Source organism: Homo sapiens, chromosome 5 (assembly GCF_000001405.40).
Source record: "Homo sapiens chromosome 5, GRCh38.p14 Primary Assembly".
NCBI classification, from domain to species: domain Eukaryota; kingdom Metazoa; phylum Chordata; class Mammalia; order Primates; family Hominidae; genus Homo; species Homo sapiens.
Window position 1 is genome coordinate 44,178,896 of NC_000005.10, and position 18,523 is coordinate 44,197,418.

Here is an 18,523-nt window from a genome sequence, read left to right on the forward strand (position 1 = left end):
AAATGCTTTTTCTGCATCTATTGAGATGATCATGTACTTTTTGTTTTTAATTCTGTTTATGTGGTGTATCACATTTACTAACTTGTGTATGATAAACCATCCCTGCTTCCCTGGTATGAAACCCACTTCATCATGTTGTATTATACTTTTGATATGTTGCTGGATTCGGTTATCTGGTATTTTGTTGAGAATTTTTGCATCTATGTTCATCAGGGATATTGGTCTGTAGTTTTCTTTATTTGTTATGTCCTTTCCTGGTTTTGGTATTAGGGTGATACTGGCTTCACAGAATAATTTAGGGAGGAGTCCCTCTTTACCTTTTGGAATAGTCTCAATAGGATTGGTACCAATTCTTTGAATGTCTGATAGAATTCTGCTGTGAATCCATCTGGTTCTGGACTTTTTTTGTTGTTGTTAACTTTTTAATTATCATTTCAATCTCACTGTTATTGGTCTGTTCAGAGTTTCTATTTCTTCCTGATTTAATCTAGGAGGGCTGTATTCTTCCAGGAATCTATCCATTTCCTCTAGGTTTTCTAGTTTATGTACATAAAGGTGTCCATAGTAGCCTTAAATGACCTTTTGTATTTCTGTGGTATTGGTTGTAATACTTTCCATTTCATTTCCAGTTGAGCTTATTTGGGTTTTCTCTCCCCTTTTCTTAGTAAATCTTGCTTATGGTTTCTTAATTTTATTTATCTTTTCAAAGAACCAAGTTTTTGTTTCATTTGTCTTTTGTATTTTTTAAAAAATTTCATTTAGTTCTACTCTGATCTGTCTTCTTCTGTGCTGGATTTGGGCTTGGTTTTTTCTTGCTACTCTTATTCCCTGAGGCTTGACCTTAGATTGTCTATTTGTGCTCTTTCAGACTTTCTGATGTTGGCATTCCATACTATAAACTTTCCTCATAGCACTGCTTTTGCTATATCCCAGAGGTTTTGATAGGTTGTGTCACTATTATCGTTCAGTTCAAAGAATTTTTAAATTTTCATCATGAGTATATTGTTGACCCAATGATCATTCAGGAGCAGGTTATTTTATTTCCATGTATTTGAATGGTTTTGAGGGTTCCTTTTGGAGTTGATTTCCAGTTTTATTCCACTGTGGTCTGAGACAGTACTTGATATAATTTCAATTTTCTTAAATTTGTTGAGACTTGTTCTGTGGCCTATCATATGGTCTATTTTAGAGAATGTTCCATGTGCTGGTGAATAGAATGCATATTCTGGAGTTGTTTGGTAGAATGTTCTGTAAATGTCTGTTAAGTCCATTTGTTGTAAGGTATAGTTAAGTCCACTGTTTCTTTGTTGACTTTCCATCTTGATGACCTGTCTAGTGCTGTTAGTGGAGTATTGAAGTCCCCCATTATTATTGTGTTGCCATCTATCTCATTTTTTAGGTCTAGTAGTAATTGTTTTATAAATTTGTGAACTCCAGTGTTAGGTGCATATGTATTTAGGATTGTGATATTTTCCTGTTGGACTAGTCATTTTATCATTATATAATGTCTGTCTTTGTCTTCTTTAACTGCTGTTCTGTTAATGTTTGTTTTGTCTCATATAAGAATAGCTATTCCTGATCACTTTGGTGTCTATTTGCAAGTAATATCTTTTTTCACCCCTTTACCTTAAGTTTATGTGAGTCCTTATGTCTGTGTCAGGTGAGTATCTTGAAAAGATATATGGTTGGTGAATTCTTATTCACTCTGCAATACTGTATCTTTTTTTTTTTTTTTTTTTTTTTTTTTTTTTTTTGAGACGAAGAGTCTCTCTCCATCACCAGGCTGGAGTGCAATGGCACAATCTCAGCTCACTGCAACCTCTGCCTCCTGGGTTCAAGCGATTCCCCTGCCTCAGCCTCCCGAGTAGCTGGGACTACAGGTGCATGTCACCACGCCCAGCTAATTTTTGTATTTTTGGTAGATACGGGGTTTCACCATGTTGGCCAGGATAGTCTTTATCTCTTGACCTCGTGATCCATCTACCTCGGCCTCCCAAAGTGCTGGGATTACAGGCGTGAGCCACTGTGCCTGGCCTATTCTACATATTTTAAGTGGAGTATTTAGGCTATTTATATTCAACATTAATATTGATATGTGAGGTACTGTTCTATTCATCATGTTATTTGTTGCCTGAATTTTTTTCATTGTGTTATTGTTTTATAGGTCCTGTGAGATGTATGCTATAAGGAGATTCTATTTTGATTTATTTTGAGGATTTGTTTCAAGATTTGGAGCTTTTTTTTTTTTTTTTAGCAGTTTTTGTGCTGCCTTGGTAGTGGCAAATTCTCTCAGCATTTGTTTGTCTGAAAAAGACTATCTTTCCTTTCATTGGATACAAATTTCTTGGCTGATAATTGTTTTGTTTAAGGAGGCTAAATATAGGACCCCAATCTCTTCTAGCTTGTAGGGTTTCTGCTGAGAAATCTGTTGTTAATTTGATATTTTTTTAACAGGTTACCTGATGCTTTTGCCTCACAGCTCTTAAGATTCTTTCCTTCATCTTCACTTTAGATAACTTGACGACTATGTGCTGAAGTGATGATCTTTTTGCAATGAATTTCCCGGATGTTCTTTGTGCTTATTATATTTGGATGTCTAGATCTCTAGCAAGGCTGGGGAAATTTTTCTTGATTATTTCCTCAAATATGTTTTCCAAACTTTTATATTTCTCTGCTTTGGGAACACCAATTATTCCTAAGTTTGGTAGTTTAACATGATCCCAAACTTCTTGAAGTTTATGTTCATTTTCCAACAATTCTTTTTTCTTTGTCTTTGTTAGATTGTTTAATTCAAAAACCTTGTCTCTGAGCTCTGAAGTTCTTCTTTCTTCTTGTTTGATTCTGTTGCTCATACCTTCCAGTGCATTTCGCATTTCTCTAAGTGTATCCTTCACTTCCAGAAGTCGTGATTGTTATTTATTCATGCAATCTGTTTCACTGGGGATTTTTTCATTCATATCTAGCATCATTTTTTTGATGTCTTTAAGTTGATCTTTACCTTTTGCTGGTGCTCCCTTGATTAGCTTAATAATTGACCTGAATTCTGTTTCTGGCAATTCAGAGATTTCATCTCGATTTGGATCCACCGCTGGTGAGCTAGTGCGATCTTTTGGGGGTGTTAAAGAAACTTGTTTTGTCATGTTACCACAGTTGTTTTTCTGATTCCTTCTCATTTGGGTAGACAATGTCAGAGGGAAGATCTGGAGCTCAAGGGCTGCTGTTCAGATTCTTTTGTCCCATAGAGTGATCGCTTTATTTAATACTCTCTGCCTTCCCCTAGGGATGGGGCTTCCTCACAGCCAAACTGCAGTGAATTTTTTTTTTCTAATTATACTTTAAGTTTTAGGGTACATGTGCAAAACGTACAGGTTAGTTACATACGTATACATGTGCCATGTTGGTGTGCTGCATCCATTAACTCGTCATTTAACATTAGGTATATCTCCTAATGCTATCCCTCCCCCCTCCCCACACCCCACAACGGGACCCAGTGTGTGATGTTCCCCTTCCTGGGTCCATATGTTCTCATTGTTCAATTCCCACCTGTGAGTGAGAACATGTGGTGTTTGGTTTTTTTGTCTTTGTGATAGTTTGCTGAGAATGATGGTTTCCAGCTTCATCCATGTCCCTACAAAGGACATGAACTCATCGTTGTTTATGGCTGCATAGTATTCCATGGTGTGTATATGCCACATTTTCTTAATCCAATCTATTATTGTTGGACATTTGGCTTGGTTCCAAGTCTTTGCTATTGTGAATAGTGCCGCAGTAAACATACGTGTGCATGTGTCTTTATAGCAGCATGATTTATAATCCTTTGGGTATATACCCAGTAATGGGATGGCTGGGTCAAATGGTATTTCTAGTTCTAGATCCTTGAGGAATTGCCACACTGACTTCCACAGTGGTTGAACTAGTTTACAGTCCCACAAACAGTGTAAAAGTGTTCCTATTTCTCCACATCCTCTCCAGCACCTGTTGTTTCCTGACTTTTTAATGATCGCCATTCTTACTGGTGTGAGATGGTATCTCATTGTGGTTTTGATTTGCATTTCTCTGATGGCCAGTGATGATGAGCATTTTTTCATGTGTTTTTTGTCTGCATAAATGTCTTCTTTTGTGTCTGTTCATATCCTTCATCCACTTTTTGATGGGGTTGTTTTTTTTTTCTTGTAAATTTGTTGGAGTTCATTGTAGATTCTGGATATTAGCCCTTTGTCAGATGAGTAGATTGCAAAAAGTTTCTCCCATTTTGTAGATTGCCTGTTCACTCTGATGGTAGTTTCTGTTGCTGTGCAGAAGCTCTTTAGTTTAATGAGATCCCATTTGTCAATTTTGGCTTTTGTTGCCATTGCTTTTGGTGTTTTAGACATGAAGTCCTTGCCCATGCCTATGTCCTGAATGGTATTGCCTAGGTTTTCTTCTAGGATTTTTATGGTTTCAGATCTAACATTTAAGTCTTTAATCCATCTTGAATTAATTTTTTGTAAGGTGTAAGGAAGGGATCCAGTACTTCTCTTCTGGATCCAGCCACCCAGTGGTGCTACCAGGCTCCAGGCTGACACTGGGGAGTGGCTGCAAACAGTTCTGTCATGTGATCTATCTTCAGGTCTCTCAGCCATAGATACCAGCACCTGCTCTGGTAGAGGTGGCAGGAGAGTAAGGACTCTGTGAGAGTCTTTGGTTGTATTTTTGTTCAGTGTGATGGTTTTGTATTGGTTGGCTTCCAGCATGGAGTAACGCTTTTAAGAGCACTTCAGCTGCAGTAGTATAGGGAGGATACAAGCTTGCCCTAGGGTCAGGCAGTGGGTGGGGCCATAGAGCTCCGAAGAGATTATGTCCTTTGCCTTTGGCTACCAGGGCAGGTAGAAAAAGACCATCAGTTGGGGGCAGGATTAGACTTGGGCAGGGCTTACTGCGGCTTCTGTGGGGGATGGGGGTGTGTTTCCAAGGCCAATGGAGTTATGTTCCCAGCAGGATTATGGTTGCCTCTGCTCTGTCACACAGGTTGCCAGGGAAGTGGGGGAAAACCAGCAGCCACAGGCCTTAATCAGCTCCCACACAGCCTGCAACCGAAAGGCAGGTCTCACTTTCACCATGCCCTCTTAACAGCACTGAGTTATTTCCAGGCAGCCGGTAGCAGGGCTGAGAACTTGCCCCAGGTTACAAGCCTCCCAGCTTAGAAAGAGAGCAGACTCACAGTTCCTTGGCTTGTCCCATGGAGCCTGCAGTGGCAATCCATCCCTTTAAAGGGTCTGTGGATTCTCTCAGCTTCCCTGATATGTTCCTATGGTAGTTCTTCGAGCAAAAGTTCACGATGTGAGTCTCCACACGCTGCTGTGTCCATTTGAGTGGGAGCTGCAAGTTACTCCTGCCTCCTATCTGCCATTTTTTTTCCTTTTTCCTCTGTATTATGAAATTTTTATAGTGAGTTATTCAGCTCTATCAGATCAGTTTGTTTCTTTCTTAAAATGGCTATTTTGTCTTTCAGCTGTTGTATCAGTTTATGGGATTGCTTAGATTTCTCGAATTGGTTTTCAACTTTCTTTATGGCTACGCAAATTCTGAATTCTATGTTTGTCATTGCAGATATTTCAGTCTGGTTAAGGACCATTGCTGGGAAGCTAGTGTGGTTATTTCGAGGTAAGGAGACACCCTAGCTTTTTGAGTTGCCAGAGTTCTTGCACTGTGTTGATCTGATTTTTAAAACACTGATGGCATGAGCAATATCCACTTCTTTTAACTTTCTACACCATGTTGTACTCTGCAATTTCTCAGTTGATTAATGATAATAATATTAATGTTACATTCATTAAGAAGTTAGTATTTTGTCAGGCACTCTACTAAGTACCTTAGTGATATCTTCCTCAGAACCTTATTCTCATCTTTATGTTAGAGGTGAGAAAACCGAGAAGTAAAAAATTAATGAGTTTGATTAATGTCACCTATTTAGTAAGTTGCAGATCTCGGACTGTAACCCAAACTGTTTGGTTCTAAACCCTTCTGAATAACAATCTTATTGTATTGCTTATTAAATAGTAGATTAGCAGAGCACTAAATTGTCTTTCAATACCTACGAAAACTTTGAATTTCCTATAGACGTCTACTGCCCCTAGTAAACATTTTCATGCCCAAAGGCTAAGCAATAACATAACTTTGAAGACCTTTATGATATTTAGTTTCAATTTCTCAGGGTGCATCTTAATTGCTTTACGTTTGAACACTGGGTTTAATTAAACACACATGTAGACGTATACACACACCTCACAATATCTTTTATTCTTTGCTTAGTAAAACAGCACATATTAACTTCAAATTAGAGATTATCCATGTTTATTAAAATGTAAAATAATTACCAAAGTGTGATGCTATTTTAAAAATAAATATTTGGTGTTATTTTATCAACATGTATAGTTTATTAACTGTTTACTTTCAGACCTTGCAATAAAACTGTTCCAAATCTGTCTCTTGGGAACTGTTTAGTTGGCTTATTATATATTCCTTAAATTTATAGCTTTCATCCAGGTCTGTTTTCAATGTTCACAACTTGAAAAAATTTAACTAGGATGTAACTGCTTTGCAGATGACTTCATCAATACAGTCTTCCCTCCATAGACTACTGTAATTTAGGATCTGTCAGAGGGTTATTTAATGAGCCCCTCCTATTTGCAGTATTTATAACCTACTAGGATAACTACATCAATTTCTGAGATGCTGAAGAAGATTGTAGAATTTATTTTGTTGTAAATCTATGATGCTTTGCAGGTGTGCTTTGCAATATTTTTTTTCCTGAGTTAAAAGAAATTGTACTCAGTTATTTTTAAAAATCAGCTTTGAGATTAACAATTAGATATCAAAATTATTCTAAAAGTATATTTAAAACATACTTATATTTGTACATCAGATTTGCTTATGCTCACTTTTATAGCCAGCAAATAGTTCCCCCAAAGACTAAACCAATTTAGGTCAATTTGGTAAAAAAAAAAAATTATGGATTTACTTTTGGCAAATTTCTCTAAAATTAGCTCGCTTCATAAATCATATGCCAAATGGATTTCAACATGTTTTTGTTTAAAGCATTTAATATTCTCCCAATGCAAAGAGAAAATCCCAAGCCTGTTAAAGTTTTTCAGTGAAATTTTATTGGGTTTCTTCGTTGTATCATTAAAATCAATTTTATCAAGAGTTTCTTCCTTCTCCAGTCATCTTAGATTTGTAGAAATTGGTGCTGAAGACTTGTATTACAAATAGCTTATCTTTTATAAACTAAATTATAGTGTTAGCATAATAACTAAAAAAATTCTTAGTTTCATGGGAGGTAAATAATTTAATGATTTTATAAAAATTTTGAAGGAATGAAGGTTAGCTACTTCCCCACCATTCCCTTCCAAGTATAACAAAAGAAAGTTTTAGACAAAAATCTGCAATATGTACAGACAGTAATTAAACTAACAATTATTAGTAAGCAGGCAAAAAATAGTTTGCTCAACCTGCTTTATAAGCTTGATGAAGTTCCAGCTTTCTATTCTTTCTGGAGATCTACTACCTTTTTAAAGCATCTTCAATCTTGCATGAAAGATCACTCAAGGGATATGCAACACATTTCAGAAGAAGAATTCTGCTACCCTGAGAGTATCAGGCCAAGAGAAATCCTACTAAACTAATGGTTGCATACAGGGCTATTTTGGGATTAAACCTCAACACTGTTACTAAGGAGAAAGGGGAAAGACTTTGTAGGATTCTTATATCCTGTACATAAAAGTATAGGGAATTGTCTCTAAAATAGTTTTAGCCAATTCACTTTACTTGAATAGCTTCTGATTTAACTTGTGAAAGCTAATATCTAACAGGTATTCTGCTAATAAGAAAGTCATTAATTTTATCAATAGAAACATATTTTTGACATATGGTATTCAAATTACAAAGCTCTGTTATCAAGTAAGATGTGAATAAGAGAAGGTGGATTATTATTCAGCAAGAGGTGAAAAAGAGAATGCGTATTATTATCAAGCAAGATGTGAATTACGTACATATATAATGTATATCACATTGAACTGTCTATGGTGAGGTATTTGTGTAAATTACAGATATCACAAAAGCTCAGATTAGGAGGAAGCAAAGAAAATTGGAGGTATGTCTTCAAAATTCCTTACTCCAAATTCCATGTGTGGCTTTACATTTAATTAACAAAACTTCTTGTGTTTTAAAAATATAATCTTTGTTCCAATATAAAATATAGTTAAAGCTTTATTTATAGAGAAAGCCATCTACCTTTCAATTTTCAGTTTTCCCTGTCACTGTCAGGGCACTTTTGCTCTCATGACCAGAACTCATTTGTGGTTCTGACTTGTTAGTGTCACAGGTCAGTATTCCCAGAATGAGACTCTGAGATAGATTTAGGGGTGTCAAGTTTCACTGGAGAGTAATCCTATAAAAGGAAAAGTATGAAAACAGAATTTCAATCTGACAGCCTGGGAAAGAGCTCTGGAGTAAAGAAGTCCTATTAGAGAAGTCAGTATTGAGTAGAAATAGCTAGGCACTGGTATCATTGCCTATTCATTGACTTGAATGAATTGGCTACCCCAAGTAGTGTATGTCCTCATCTACTGCTATGTAATTGATCAGGAAGTATCCTGAGACTAGCATAACCTGGGCTAGAGAATGAGGTGGACTCTGCCAAATCTAACTGCTGGAAGCTGTCGGCCACATTCTTCACAGCTGGGCAGCAATTCCTTTGCTTCAAAAACATATTTTCTTTCAAAAACATATTGAAGTATGTTTTGAGTGTTACATCTCCGTGTTTGCCACAGTGCATGCTTTGTGCTGTGCTGATCCTCTTCTCTATACTCATTTGGGGAGAAGCTTCTTCAGTGCTGTGGTGGGCCTCTCTTGCTAAGGGTAAACTTAAAAGAAGTTAGTGCTATATTGCACGTATAAAAGTTTAGTGCTATTAGGTTTGTGCAAAAGTAATTGCAGTTTTTGTCATCTATTGCGTGGTATAGTAAGACCCTGATGGGTGGGAAAGGCAAATATATGTTGGTAATAGGTGCTTATTCTCATGAGCATGAACCCTTGTCCCTTTTAAGACAAAAGAGATCAAATGTAATTAATTTACCACTAGTGGCGAGTAGAATATCTTGAGGAATAATGATATACCAGGGGTGCACGTTGGTTACTAGAAAGTTGCACTTTCAGAGGTGGCAGAGCTAGATCAACCCTGCTAAGCAGGAGCCATAGTTACCAGGCACATGCATAGCCTTCATCACTACCATGGTGACCAGCTGGTTCATGTGCTCATTGTATCAGTACTGAGGCGGTTGTTGACAATGGCTGGCTATTATCAGTTGGCCAAGACATTTTGTCTACTTGAGTGTTTAGTGCCTCTTCCATTATAAGTAATTTATGGTTACCATTAATGTGTGATACAAAGAACTGTCCCCTTTGTGGCCTCTTCTTATGCTCACCCACATGCCTCTACTCTAGAGCTTCTTGCCTCTGATATTACAAGCTTTCTTCCTCCAGGCCCCTGACAAGTTGGCCAGGTCAATTGCTGCTTCCCGTGTGCCTATGTATATTCTAAACATACTTTGTTCAATAACATAGCCACTAATCACATAAGGCAATTGAACACTTGAAATGTGATGTTCCAAATTGAAATGTATTGTAGTTGTAAAATACAAACCAGATACATAAAACCTATCATGAAACAATGTAAAATATTTTATTAATTTTAAAGTAGTTATTATAGGTTAAATGATAATGTTTTAGGTATATTGAGTTAAATACTTCCTTTAAAATGTAGTTACTAGAAAAGTAAAGCTCATATATGGGGTTTGCATTTGTGGCTCACACAAGATTTTTTATTAGACAGCTTTGTTGTATACAAACAAAGCAGATGGCCAGTTTCACTACCTTTGCCAATGTCTTTCAAGACAGCTTTTGAGTAGGGCTGTGATACAGCTTGTAACAGTTTTGGTTTTTATAGTTACTCAACATATCCATCCATAATGCAAACTCATACCTTTTTAAGCTCTTTAAGGTGATTGCATAGGATTTTCCATTTATCTATTACTGTGCAGTAAGAACGAGGCATTGATGCAAGTGTGATGGGTGACATGTGAGACTGAGCTTCTGCAGCTTCCTTATGCCTGCTTGGCTTGCTCATGCTTGGTCCTGGATGTATTATTTTCATGTTGAGATAGATTATGCTAGGCTTGCCTGACTTTATGACTTGGTGTAGGATAAACACATGTAAAAGCAATAACAAATACACCTTTGGAATTACCCTGAATGGCAGATACACCCGAATGTGTGTTCTGAGCTATGGAATCTGGGAATGGCCAATCCTGAAACAAATTCCTTGTCTATGAGTGACATCTGAGCCCCTATCCTATCTAATGGAACAAGGGTCATACAGGGGATTGAGGCCATGAGTTTTGGATTGGATGAAGGTTGCCAGGTGGAGGTCATTAAGGGGAGGGTGTTAAGTGAAAATGCTATATAAGCAGCATGCTGTTTGCAAGTGGTTGCGGTTTTCCTGCCTAGCCTCCCACCACTGGGCCATGTGGTTATCTTGTCCAGCCCGCTGCCACTGAACTGTATGTAGGGCAGATATGTTGTCCAGCCCACTGCCACTGGACAACATGTAAGGTGGATATGTTGTCCAGCACCCCCATCACAGGACTCTCCCCATGGTATGGAAGCCCTTAATAAAATTCTACATCTCATTTGCTGGCTCTGGGTCTTTTCTTCAGCCTCTTGAAATTGGTGCCTTCCCTATTGAGGGTAATAAGGATTCAGCACAACACTTAGTAGTTCAACAGCATTGTCCAGCTGCAGTTCCAGCTGCATTGTCACTTGGTCTCCATATGTTCTAGCATTCCATCATTACCAGGGCCAGTAGCATGCCAGAGGCTGTTTTCCTAATAGTGTATAACTCTCCACTGCAGATGTTATGGCCTTGCTCCAAAATCCCAGGAGCCTGCTTTGTGATTCTCTCAATGGTGCTTGCCATAAAACAGATATTGCATTTTTTTTTTTCTAGTACTAATGCCTCCAGTACCATAGGGTCTGCTGGATAGAATGGTCCAAGTGGCAACACTACTTTCATTGCAGTGCAGGCCTTCTGCAGAGTCTTCTCCTGCTATAGTCTCCACTCAAAGCTAGTAGCCTTCCATGACAATCATATATGAGCTGGAATAGTATTTCTAAGCCTCCAGAACACAAAGAAGCCTTCCAGGCACTGTGCTTCCTTCTTCATGATAGGAAATGTAATATGAAGCAAGTATGTCTTCTGCTTTGGAGGGGACCACTGGCACCACTGACCAGTGGACCCTAAAAACTATTGAAATGATACAGACTTAAATCTTCATAGGGATTATCTTTACCCTCTGGAATACATGAATCTCACCAGGGTCTCCAACATGTGAATGACCTTTTGTCTGTACTTATTGACTAACATGATGTTATTGATATAATGGATCCATATGATGTTTTGTGGAATGTCTACCGGATCCAGATCTCTTTGGATAAAATTAGGACAGAGGATAAGATAGGCCACACTGTAAATAAAAATTCTTTTGTATTACCTATGTATACAATCAGTTTCTGATACTTTATCTGATTTTGAGGAGGGAAGTAAGGCATTCATTAGATTAGGGGCCATATACCATGTACCTGAGGCCAATTAACCTGCTGTAGCAACAAAACCATGTGTGCTTTTGTTGTGATCAGTTGTGATCAGGGTTAACTTTTATTTGGTTGAGCTTATGATACACAGTTATTCTCCATTATCCATATAGTTTCTGAAGGGTCTAGACAAGTGAATCAAATAGGAATATGACTACTACCCTGCATCGTTTAGATTTTTAAAGGTGGCACAAATGTTGCTTTTGTTTTACTGTTTAGATTCAAATGTGTGAGTGGACACTTTCAAAGGATTCTACTTGGAATTATACACAAGAACGACTGTTATCCTAAAGGCTAAGGACCCAATGGGCCCTTATATGTCAGTAATCATTATATATTAAAGGATTGGAGAAATGACCCCTGGGTGAGTCTGTGGACCCAGTGGACCCACTGTATGTCAGACTTTGGCCAGAATCTTATTTTTAATCTAGCTTCCAAATTCCCCCACTCTACCAGATGCATAATACTGACATTTTTGGTCTTCAGGTATCATAGCCATCTTGGACTCTATACCAAAAGTTTTCCAATATCAGGGTATTCCCTTTGACTCAGTATACAATCCCACAAATAATGACTGCAGGTCCCTTGAGGAAGAACTGGGAAAATTATTACAGTGTTTATATTTACTTGCCATGTTGTTACAGGGCACTTTCCCCTGGGGAACTAGAAATTTTTAGTCAATAGATCATGGGCCTGAAAACTAGCTCAGATCCAGAAATGAAGCAAAAAGTTATAAATTTTAATTGGGGAAACTGCTCATTCATTCTTGGCTTCTTTAGATTGTATATGTAGTTCCTTTGTTGGATTTCCATTTATTTTGCTTCTAGAATGCTGTGATCTCTATTACTCTCTACAGGTGAGGCTCACTTAGCTGCCACTCAGATTTGTTGATCCTTACCATAATTATAATCCAGTAACATCTAGTGATTGAGGACACCATCTGCTATTATTTTGGGATTCTATCAACCTCATGCCTATCAATGAGCCAAGTTTTACACAGCCTTGCCCATTATTATTCTGGCTTACAGAGGACAGCCATCACTGAACTTCTTAGTGATGTTGTTGCCCCCTCTCCAGTGCATTCCTGGTGGCCCCGGTGAGTGGTGTAACTTCTAAATTATGGTTCCTCCTGTGGAATGTAATACTCTGGTGGGTCTTTGGCCTTATGTAATACTTCTACTCCAGAATGCTCACCTCTCTGAGCCTTTTTATTCCTTCTGTCTTCATAGTAATTCTGCAACTTAAACTTACTTAGCATGAGCTATTGCTTTTTACAGGCTAGCAGACACCCTGGCAGAGAGCTTGCACCACCCTCTGAGATTCTTATTAGGGTGGTAAATTCTCCAATCCAAGAGAAAACCAAGTCAATAAAGTCTCTTATACATTCTAACATTCTAGCCTCCTTAATTTGACATTTTGAAAATCTAGTATGATGGAACATGCTTGCTAGAACTTGCAGCTGGTTTGGAGCATAGTCTTTTTCTTCCTTCATCAGACCTAGCACTTACCTGGATGGATTATGTTCCTATGTAACTCTCATTAAGGGCCTGTTAGCCAGAAGAGCCAGGAAGTCTTTAAAGGAGCACATTTTTCCTTGTGAGGGGAAAGTCTTCTGAATTGTCTTCTCAGATGGGGCAAGAGCTGGCTCTTAATGGGGACTGGCGGCCCAATTGCACAAGTTGTGAAGGTTCAGATAAATCTTGGGAATCAAATCTTTGGGGATAGCCACCAAACATTCCCATTCCATGTGTCAGATTACTAGGTTTTCCAGACATACATTGATTAAGCATTCAACCATCTTCAGAATTTGGCGACTGTAATTCTCAAATCTTGGACTTGATTTTCAGTTTTTCTCTGCTGGCATACTTCATGAGATGAGGGCTTCTTTGCAAGCATCAGAAAATTCTATGTGTCTTCTTATGCTCTCAGCTTTGCAATATCAAATCTGTAACTTAGTAACAACCATCCAATCCTAATATTCATGTATTTGTTATTTTCTTCATGTATTTCTAACCCTGGGTTATGACATCTTGATACTGAATTCCCTGCCATAGGCAGGACATCCAAGCTCACCATCAATAAACATTTAACAAGTGTATGGCCATATTGTACAAGGGGTCAATTGAACATGACCTGCCATTGGACATAAGAGCTTCACTGTTGTCTGCAATATTATTGAGTCCACAAATTCCATTTTACCAGGTGATGTTTTGGATTACTCTTGGTGTCAACTGTCATAATTTGGGTTCTCCAAAAAGCAGACTCTGAGATGGAGCTGGAAATGGGAAAAAAAATACTGGGGAGTAACACCTGTGAAAGAAATAGGGCACAAATAACATTCCACAAGGGCACTCATCAGCCTCAATACCCACCTGAGAAACTGTCTGCCAGTCCAAAGTTATACTTTCTGATTAAGCCTAGTTTATCTATTTTTTCATTTGTGAGTTGTGCATTTGCTGTCACATCTAAGAAGATATTTCCAAACCCAAGATTATAAGTATTTCCTATGTTATCTTCCAAGAGTTTTATAAATTAACTTTTACATTTAAATATATGACCCATTAGACATTACTTTTGCCTATGATGTTATTAATTATGTCCAAATTAATGTTTTTGCATTCTCAGTACATTTTGTAGTTATTCGTAAGAACTTTAGGCAAGAAAGAAGGAAGAATTGGGTTGGTCTAAGGCCACCTGAAAACTGTCCTGCAATATGTCTACTTTAATTTCTTTCAGCAATGCTTCATAGTTTTCAGAGTATAAGTTTTGTGCTTCTTATAAGTGTCTTAAGTATTTTTTCTTTTTGATAGTATTGCAAGTAAAAGTGTTTTCTTATTTCATTTTTGAATTGTTCAATTTTTGTTGTTCAGATTGCTAGTGTTTTTTTCAGTCTGATGAACCCTTTTTGGTTGAAGTGTTACCATCTGATGGATCTCATTTCCTTACTCCAATAAGGTTTTCTCCTTTGCACTCCCCTTTTGCTGTTATTTTTAAATATGTTACATTTCTATGTTATAAATCAAAAAACACAGTTGTATAATACTGTTTTATTCAATTTATTTTAAGGTCAGTTAAAACAATAAAGAAAAAATATGTATTTATACTGTCTTATAATTTCATTCACTTACTTTCAGCATGTATAATTTTCTTTTGTACTTATAGTAAAGTTAGTCTGCTAGCAACAAATTCTCCATATTTTTGTTCATCTGGAAATGCCTTTATTTTGTCTTCCTTTATGAAAAGTAGTTTTACTTGATAAAAGATTCTTGGTTGACAGTTTGGTTTTCTTTCAGCACTTTGAATATTTCATTACACTGCCTTCTGGCCTCCATCGCTTCTGATGAGAATTTAGCTGTTACTCTTACTTTGCTTTACTTGTATGCTACAAGCTATAATTATATTGCTGCTTTCAATATTTTCTCCTTGTCTTTGGGTTGCAACATTTTTATTATAGTGTACTGAGTACGTATCTCTTTGCATCTATCTTAGATTTTGTTGAGCTTCTTGAATGTGAAGATTAAGTTTTAACATCAAACTTGGAAAGTTTTCTGCCACTATTTCCTTGAGCATATTTTCTTCTCTATTCTTCCTTCCCTCTCCTTCTGGTACTCTGCTTACACATGTGTTGGTATACTTAAAGATGTCCCACATTTCTTGTCACTCTGTTTATTTTTCATCATTCTTTTTTTATCCCTGTCCTTCAAATTGCCAAATCTATTGATCTATCTTAAGTTCATGGACTTTCCTTTTTTCATTTCAAATCTGTGGATCCTGTCTACTGAATTTTTATTGGAGCTATTGCACATTTTTCCTACAGAATTACCATGTGATTCTTTTTAAACTTTCTTTTTGACATTCCATATTTAATGAGACATTTCCATGATATCTTTCTTTACTTCTTTAAAAATTATTTCCTTTAGTTCTTTGAATTTATTCATAATGGCTTCTTTAAAATCTTATTTGTTAATTAACTCAAGCAGGATTAAAGCATTAAATGTAAAACCCCAAACTTAAAGACCCTGGAAGACAACCTAGGCAATACCATTCAGGACATAGGCAGGGGCAAAGATTTCATAATGAACTCACCAAAGGCAATTGCAACAAAAGCAAAACTTAACAAATGGGATCTCATTAAACTAAAGAGCTTCTGTACAGCAAAATAAACTATCAACAGAGTAAACAGGCAATCTACAGAATGGGACAAAAATTTTGCAAACTATGCATCCGACAAAGGTCTAATATCCAGCATCTATAAGTACCTTAAACAAATTTAAAGAAATAAACAACCCCATAAAAAAGTAGACAGAGGACATAAACAGACACTTCTCAAAAGAAGACATACGAGTGGCCAACAATCATGTGAAAAAAAAGCTCAATATCACTGATCTTTAGAGAAGTGCAGATCAACAGCACAGTGAGATTCCATCTCACACCAGTCAGAACGGCTATTACTAAAAAGTGAAAAAATAACATTCTGGTGAGGTTGTGAAGAAAAAGGAACACTTATACACTATTGGTGGGAGTGTAAATTAGTTCAACCACTGGGGATGATAGTATGGTGATTCCTCAAAGACCTAAAAACAGAAATACCATTCAACATAGGAATTCCATTACTGGGTATATACCCAAAGGAATATAAATCATCCTATTAAAAATACATGTGCACATATATGTTCATTGCAACACTCATCAAAATAGCAAAGACATGGAATCAACTTAATGCTCATCAATGGTAGACTGGATCAGGAAAATGTGGTACATATTCACCACGGAATGCTATGCAGCCATAAAAAAAAATGAGATTTGGTCCTTTGCAGGGACATGGATGGAGCTGGAGACCATTATCCTTAGCAAACTAATGGAGGAACAGAAAACCAAATACCACATGTTCTCACTTGTAAGTGGGAGCTAAATGATGAGAACACATGAACACACAGAGGGGACCAACACACACTGGGGCCTATTGAAGGGTGGAGGGTGGGAGGAGGGAAAGAATCAGGAAAAATAACTAATGAGTACTAGGCTTAATACATGGGTGATGAAATAATCTGCACAACAAACCCCCATGACACAAGCTAACCTATGTAACAAACCTGCAAACAAACAAACTTGTATCTCTGAACTTAAAAGTTAAAAAACAGTCTTATTTGGCTGGGCGCAGTGGCTCACGCCTGTAATCTCGCACTTTGGGAATCTGAGGCGGGCAGATTTCCTGAGGTCAGGAGTTCGAGACCAGCCTGGCCAACATGGTGAAACCCCGTCTCTACTAAAAATACAAAAATTAGCCAGGCATGCTGGTGCATGCCTGTAGTCCCAGCTACTTGGGAGGCTAGGACAGGAGAATCGCTTGAACCTGGGAGGTGGAGGTTGCAGTAAGCTGAGATTGTGCCACTGCACTCCAGCCTGGGCAACGCAGTGAGACTCTGTCTCAAAAAAAAAAAAAAAAAGAAATAAAGAAAGAAAGAAAAAAAACAGTCTTATTTGTTAAACCAAACATCTGGTTGCTTTCAGGGGCAGTTTCTCTGGTTGCTTTCAGGGGCAGTTTCTATTGCTCGAGTTTTTCTTCACTGTGTATGGTCATTCTAACCTCAGCTTTGTTTTTTGCATGTCTTGTAATTTTTGTTGGAAACTCAATATTTTAGATAAGATATTATAATTAAAACAACTCTGTATGCTGATTCCCACCTTCCACTTCAGGTCTTCCTATTGTTATTCTTTGTTTATTTGTGCAGTTACTTGAATAAACCAGTGCAGTGAAGCCTTCTCCTTCCCCTCACTCACCCACTAAGTGTGAAGTCTCTGATGTTACTCCACAGAGTGTGCAATTTTAGGCATGCACACAGTCACTCTTGAATGACAGTGGTTTTAGCAAGCCTGTCTTTGTCTCTTTCCTTGATCTCTCTGTCAGTCTCTGTCTCTGGATCACTCTCAGATGTTGACAGCTAATTACTTCATTTTTAATTTTTTTGGACAATACCTGGGGGAATAAATTGTACCCAAGTCTGATCAAATTAAGTTGGGTCCTTTTGCAGGAATAGTTTTAGAGGACTGTGTTTGATATTTTTTTCTTACGCTAGAGAACTCTTCTTCACTATCTCCTCTCTGGTTCTCACTAGTAAACCAGCTGACCTATGGTTTAGCCTATTGCTTTCACGGAGCTACCATCCTAATCTTAATTGTGTACCACCTAAATGTCCATGTTTTTGGGAGCACTATTAGCTTGAACTTCCTCCCATTCTGTATTAAATAATGTTAGTTCCTTTGGGAAGTGCATCAGATCTCTTTGTTTTTGTACCTTGCCTCTCCTCTTTGGCAAAGTCTCTTAACTGCTACTCTGGATTAGGGATGAAGATAATGGCCCACTTCTCTCAGTAACAACCCTTTTTGCAAGCAGGATGCTGGGTGGATGCAGTCACCTTTTTGTCTTCCTAGCTTGCCTCTTCTGGTGTAAAACCTCTGTCCTATTAGCTAGCTGGAATGAGTACAATCTGGAACAGAGTATTCTCTGTTTGCCATGACTGAGGTAGAGCCTCCACCCTATGAGTGAGACCTCTGTGGGAGACAGGATCCCTCAACCTCTTGGCCACACTTGCTTTGAACTGTAGCATCTGAAGCACAAAGCTGCAGGCGGAAGGAGATAAGAAATTATGATGGTCTTCCCCTACTGGGACATCTTCTTTCCTGGGAGATGAAGAGAAAAGGAGCCCCATATTCTTGGCCAGATTTACATTGAGCAGGAATTCTGTCTTGTTGAGCTGAGAGAGGCAGAAAGGAGTGAATTATGGCTCAAGTGCACAGACTATCACTGCACAGACTATCACTGTTCTCATGGAGA

The 18,523-nt window shown here is 37.8% G+C and overlaps 4 annotated features.

Moving 5' to 3' along the window:
- Positions 5,469–5,638: an enhancer, noted in NCBI's record as "experimental_85852 CRE fragment used in MPRA reporter constructs". NCBI's record gives its function as "activates a minimal promoter by MPRAs in K562 erythroleukemia cells, with activity observed for both the introgressed and non-introgressed 5:44184551 variant alleles {active_cell/tissue: K562}" and the evidence as "EXISTENCE:reporter gene assay evidence [ECO:0000049][PMID:34662402]".
- Positions 6,351–6,520: an enhancer, noted in NCBI's record as "experimental_85853 CRE fragment used in MPRA reporter constructs". NCBI's record gives its function as "activates a minimal promoter by MPRAs in K562 erythroleukemia cells, with activity observed for both the introgressed and non-introgressed 5:44185433 variant alleles {active_cell/tissue: K562}" and the evidence as "EXISTENCE:reporter gene assay evidence [ECO:0000049][PMID:34662402]".
- Positions 17,307–17,476: an enhancer, noted in NCBI's record as "experimental_85873 CRE fragment used in MPRA reporter constructs". NCBI's record gives its function as "activates a minimal promoter by MPRAs in K562 erythroleukemia cells, with activity observed for the introgressed 5:44196389 or rs79468888 variant allele {active_cell/tissue: K562}" and the evidence as "EXISTENCE:reporter gene assay evidence [ECO:0000049][PMID:34662402]".
- Position 17,392: a transcriptional cis regulatory region, noted in NCBI's record as "Neanderthal adaptively introgressed variant 5:44196389 (GRCh37/hg19 assembly coordinates) or rs79468888 in the experimental_85873 CRE". NCBI's record gives its function as "modulates activity of the experimental_85873 enhancer by MPRAs in K562 erythroleukemia cells {active_cell/tissue: K562}" and the evidence as "EXISTENCE:reporter gene assay evidence [ECO:0000049][PMID:34662402]".